Here is a 6,000-nt window from a genome sequence, read left to right as displayed (position 1 = left end):
CAAAGATCACTGATCACAGATCACCATAACAGATAAAATACTAATGAAAAATCTGAAATATTGCAAGAGTTACCAATATGTGACACAGAGACACAAAGTGAGCACATGCTGTTGGAAAAATGGTGCCAACAGACTTGCTCAACTCAGGGTTGCCACAGATGTTCAATTTGAAAAAAAAAAAAACACAATATCTGTGAAACAAAGTGAAGCACAATAAAATGAGGTACGTCTGTAACTGAGTGGGACTTCTTTTTTTTATTTTTTATTTTTTAATTTTTTTTTATTTTTTTTTTATTTTTGTTTGAGATAGTGTCTTGCTTTGCCACCCAGGCTGGAGTGTAATGGCACAACCTCGGCTCACTGCACCATCCACCTCCCAGGTTCCAGCGATTCTCCCACCTCAGCCTCCTGAGTAGCTGGGATTACAGATGCCTGCCACCATGCCTGGCTAAATTTTTACTTTTAGTAGAGACGGGGTTTCACTATGTTGGTCAGTCTGGTCTCAAATTCCTGACCTCAGGAGATCCGCCCGCCTTGGCCTCCCAAAATGCTGGGATTAGAGGCGTGAGCCACTGTGCCCGCCCAGGACTTCACCTTTTTACAATAAAAAATAACATTACCATATCATCAAGTAATATGTGATTATTTGATACTTAAAAATAGTACAGTATGCAGATTACTGGAATAGTGAAAATTGATAACGCAATCCCTAGTAGAAAGAAAATCCGAAAGAGTTCTGTATACCGGCTTTCAGTACATTTAAATATATATATGTTTGAACAATTCATCTTTATCCCTAATACAATAACTTTTCAAAAGCTAATTTATAAATGTCAGTTTGTACAGATACAAACTGTATAATATCCAATATAATCAGATATTCTCAGAATATACAGATTAAATATACAGAAATAAATGTATGGTTATTGCCTGATCATAATTCCTTAGGGAAGGCAATAATTCACAATTTATGTACCCACAGTGGCAGTGTAGAGAGGTGGTTTTGCCAGTGATTACTTAATACTAAGTTGCCAACACAGTACTTAAAACCTTCATTTATGAGAGTCTAAGAGATCTCCTTCCTATGCATCGAGGCTACACAATAGAAAGAAATTAGCTTTTAAAACAATGATGCAGTCCGGTTGCAGTGGCTCACGCCTGTAATCCCAGCACTTTGGGAGGCCCAAGAGGGCGGATCACCTGAGGTCAGGAGTTCGAGACCAGCCTGACTAACATGGTGAAACCCTGTCTCTACTAAAGATACAAAAATTAGCAGGGCACAGTGGCAGATGCCTGTAATCCCAGCTACTCAGGAGGCTGAGGCAGGAGAATCACTTGAACCCGGGAGGCAGAGATTGCAGTAAGACAAGATCACGCCATTGCACTCATGCCTTGGCGACAAGAGCGAAACTTTGTCTCAAAAAAAAAAAGCAATGATGCAAAGAAGAAGACAACAGACACTGGGGTCTATTGAGGGTGAAGAGCGGGAGGAGGGAGAGGAGCAGAAAAGATAACTATGGGCTTAATAGCTGGGTGATAAAATTATCTATACAACAAGCCCCTGTGACACATGTTTACCCATGTAACAAACTTTCACATGTACCCCTGAGCCTAAAATAAAAGTTTAAAAGAAAAAGCAGTGATGGTTTCTAGTGTCTCCTCTTAGTCTCTCTAACCTCTCTGCTTTTCAATTTCTAATGGGTTAAATAGTGGGAACTGTCAACCTATTGTCTACCTTTATGTCACACTGAAAAATAGAATATGTGACACTATCTGGGGTACAATTCCCCAGTTGATTGTAGGGGTCACTATAAAGTCTGCCCTTCAACGCACCTATTGCAATTAAATGTTACAGGAATCCAGGTTCATCATTAGGCATTTGCTTTTGGAGTTAAGCATTGTCCTCCGTCCTTAATACTCTTTACACCTATGGACTCCCTGGGAAGGAAGGCATATTCCAGTCATTGTTATCTTATTGCGGACTTGGTTTCGGAGGAAGGCAGGACAGGAAGCATGAGAACACTGGGGAGGAGCCCAGCCCTGCACACAGTGGGAGAGAAAGAGTGCAGAAAGGTGGGGTGAAGAGGTCAGAGAGCATCCCTCCCAGGTTTCAGATATTTCCCTGAGCCCAGCTTTATCTCCTTCTTAGTTCAATGCTTCTCTCTACATTAAACCTCAACCCCATTTATACCAGGTTAATCTCCACTCTATTTCTATTTCGAAGGTCAACTGCCCACTCCTTACTTTGAACCAACACAACCGTGAAGTTAATGAGACTGCTTCACTAATCACCACAAAAAAGAGAAGCCAAATTAGAACACTGTGAATGAATGTGCAGAGCAGTGAATTAATGGTTTGGCACTACACATTTCAAGTCTGGGAGGTTAAAAATGCTTCTCATGGATGTGCCCAAAGCTTCCAGGCTGTGTCAGTGCTTTCTGTTTTATACATTTGGGCTTTGGCATCCAATGGCAGTGGACTTCTTGAGGAGGTAAGGAAAGTGGGAAATACTCCGTTTTAGCTCTCTCCAGATTAAATATCCAGGACGGCCTAATGACTGATACCACAACACAGACAGCACTTCTGTATACCAGCCTTAAAGATAAAAAGGAGCCTCAAGAACTGGTCCTGATTTCCATAAGGTCAAGAAGGGTGACCCCAAAATTATAAATATAATTTTTGAAAAGGTAATTTTTGCACAACAGACAAATCCATGGGGTACAACATTTCCAACTATGGTGTATTCTATGCAGCACTATGCGTAAATCTCCCTAAGGATCCTCATTCTGTTGTTCATGATACACACATACAGTCATAGAATGTGAGTTTGAAATGCTCAAACAGAACTCAGCAAGGTTAAGTATGGTCTTGGCATATTTCATTCCCTGTCATTGTCTGATTCCAATTCTAGCAATAATCAGCAGAGCACTTTCCTAGGACTTTCCTAAGGAACTCGAGGAAGAAGAATGGGAGGGAGACCAGGGCAAGGTGAAGTATCAGGGAAGGCTTTAACCCAAGAGGTTGGTCAGAAAGTACTGAGAGCTACTACAGACCCCTCTTGCCGCCCCAGTGAAATGGTGTAATCTTACCTAAAGCCAGATGAAATTCAGAGTCAAAAAATTATTTTTATGTCAATTCTCTGAGCGAAAAAAATTAAGAAATCCAAACAGAAATGCTAGGTAAGTGTTTAGCTATTCAGTGGGTAGTCCGGCTCCTTCGCCCTATGCCAAGAGAGATTCTATAGACACCAAGAGGGCGGCAGGCGGAAGGACACAGAACAGACCCAGGCCACCTTTCAGAGTGAAGAAATCAAAGTGACAGGAAGGTGGCCTGACCTTCCATATATCAAATGTGGGGCATATACCCTAAGCTAAATTAGGATAGGAGATTCTCGTCACCAGACCTAGCAACATGTATGACTCACACAGTTAAGCCACTTCATGATGGCAACCCAATTTGCACCCTGCTGCCCTTCTGATTATCTCTCATCTTTTTTTTCGAAATCTTTTAAAAAACTTTTTTTTTACTTTAAGAATAATCAAATCAAAATGAAAACTGGGTGGTCGTGAGACATTTAAACTCCCTGCTCCTAGGTCTCCACTGGTGTCATTTTGACAGCTTTCAAGGCTGCGCCCCAAATGTTGCATTTCATCAACATCACTCCTTCCAGACCCAAGCTCTGAATTTACACACCAGGCAGAAGTGTTTCTTCGCCTGGGGATTCTCAGGATGCCAGGCTCGGCCAAATGGGAACAGCTTTCCTTCTAGACCACAGTCTTGTGGCCCACCTTGGAGGCTGAAATAAAGCTACTGTACTCAGCCTCCCAACCTCACCCAATGCCCACTAATAACATCTGCTTTATAGCCATCATTCCTTCAACCTGCTCCCTCCTTGGCTCTCTCGCCCTCTCCAAGAGGATGTGCTCTACTATGCGGCAGGTCTGGTGGAAAGCTGACAGTCTCCAAGCCAAGAACGAAAGCAGCCAGCGCTGGATAAACGACTTGAAGTGCTTTCTCCAGGGACCCCTTCCAGGTACAGGAGCCCTTCTTAACCAGATTTGGCCTGTGCTGGCAGACAGCCTTGTTCAGGAGCACATTAAAAATCAAAATACAGACACCGTTTGGAAAGCATAGAAAGCTTGACTCTAACATCTTATGTATTAAAACATTGTTACATAAAAATGACCACAAAGCTCCAAATTCATACTTTCCTACCTTGTGAGACCCGTTGCCACCAAGAATAAACCTGTGAAAGTGTGAGGCCAACTGTGGAGCCTCAAGAGGCCTGGGGATAAGGCTGGAACCACATTCCAAGCCTTGGGGGCAAGATCAATGCCCTGGCCCTTGAGAGCAGCCCAGCCTAAAGCGAAGTGGGTGAGCGGGTGCTCTCATCTCATCACCACATGAGTCTGGGGGCAAACAGCAGCCTGAGCCAGGGTGGAGCCGATAGTCTCTTCTGAGGCCCCCTTTCATGTACCCCATAAAGCCCCAGACAGATTGGCACAGCTCACAGTTTTTAATGAAGCGTGGGCTCCTGGCTGGAGCCAAAGGGGCATTACAGACTCAGAATGAGGCTCTTTCATACCCTCTGAGATGGTGATATAGAAGCGCCAGACTTCTGGAACAACTTTCTGCTGAGGAACTCAATGCTTGTCATGGAACCCGTTTCATTTTTTCTCATCAGATCTTAGTGACATCCAGGATGGATAATTTTCATCTTTGTTTTGATGCAGATCTGAAGCAGAGCCTTGAATAATTCAGGTAACCAGCCAGCACTAGAGCTAGAATGCAAATCTCCTACGCACTGACTATGTGAGGACGTTTATAGGAAGCTTATCAGAGGTCAGGCACTGCTAAACTTTACATGCATTGCCTCATTCAATCATGACAACAGCCCTGTGAGAAACCTGCCTTTTCTCTTTTATACACGAGGAACCCTGAGTACAGAGAATTTAAGGCCATAAGTTTGCCCCATTCTCTCCCTCCTCAGTAAACATAATGCCTTTTACATCCATCCAAATGTCAATGAATAAGATGTGCTATGTGTGCCTGAACACTTGGAAGATAAAGTATTTTGGAGTCAGTTGGAACTTGTTTAAACCCTGACTCTAACACTTCCTAGCTGTGTGATCCTGAGAAATCTCAATTTCTTTATTTATAAAATGGGGGCATCTAAAGACTCAGGACCTCTGCACCGGACAATACAAAGCAATAGAATACAACGTAAATGGTGTCATCTAGAATTGCGTTGATTGAATGTTCCTGCCAAGACTTCAGCAATTCCAAACTGTGAATAGATTCCATTTGCCTTTACCCCTCCAGAGACAGTATGGTAGGTATCCTGAAAAGAAGAGGCCCTTTGAGTCCAGCATTCTCAGACTTGAGTCATCATTCTTCCACATAGTGACTGTGTGACCCTGAGTCACAAGCCCTCTGCACCTCCATTTCCCTATGTGGAATTGGGAATAAATTGGTAATAAAGATGTTCATCTGGAGGAATTGTAAAGATTTTGGTTCTTGTAAGTGGCATACCATAACAAAAACCTAAAATGTGGGAATAGCTTTAGAACTGAGCACTGAGCAGAAACTAGACAAGCTGTAATGATTTTAAGAGTATTAGTGAAATATTAAATGCATTTGAATGCACTTCTTATATAATTCTGGACTTTGGCTGTTGGAGAGGATTTAAAGGAAATTGAGGAAAATCTTATTGGAAACTGGAAGAAAGGGGATCCTGATTATTAAGTGGAAGAAAAGTTTAGCAACACTGTCACCTGCAGTTATGTGGAGAGCAGAAAGTTTACCCAGCAAACTGGGTGATCTGGCTGAGGACAATTCCAGCCAGAGTGGTAAAGTGCCACCTGGTTTCTTCTTACTGCTTGTAAGAGATAAGATTGATATATAAGGCCTGGCGCAGTGGCTCATGCCTGTAATCCCAGCATTTTGGGTGGCTGAGGAAGGCAGATCACTTGAGGTCAGGAGTTCGAGACCAGCTTGGCC

General features: G+C 42.8%; 1 annotated feature.

Annotated features, from left to right (window-relative positions):
* Positions 3,135–3,304: an enhancer, noted in NCBI's record as "experimental_27196 CRE fragment used in MPRA reporter constructs". NCBI's record gives its function as "activates a minimal promoter by MPRAs in K562 erythroleukemia cells, with activity observed for both the introgressed and non-introgressed 12:27983485 variant alleles {active_cell/tissue: K562}" and the evidence as "EXISTENCE:reporter gene assay evidence [ECO:0000049][PMID:34662402]".

The sequence above is a fragment of the Homo sapiens genome, chromosome 12 (assembly GCF_000001405.40).
Source record: "Homo sapiens chromosome 12, GRCh38.p14 Primary Assembly".
NCBI classification, from domain to species: domain Eukaryota; kingdom Metazoa; phylum Chordata; class Mammalia; order Primates; family Hominidae; genus Homo; species Homo sapiens.
This window is presented reverse-complemented; position numbering and strand designations above follow the sequence as displayed.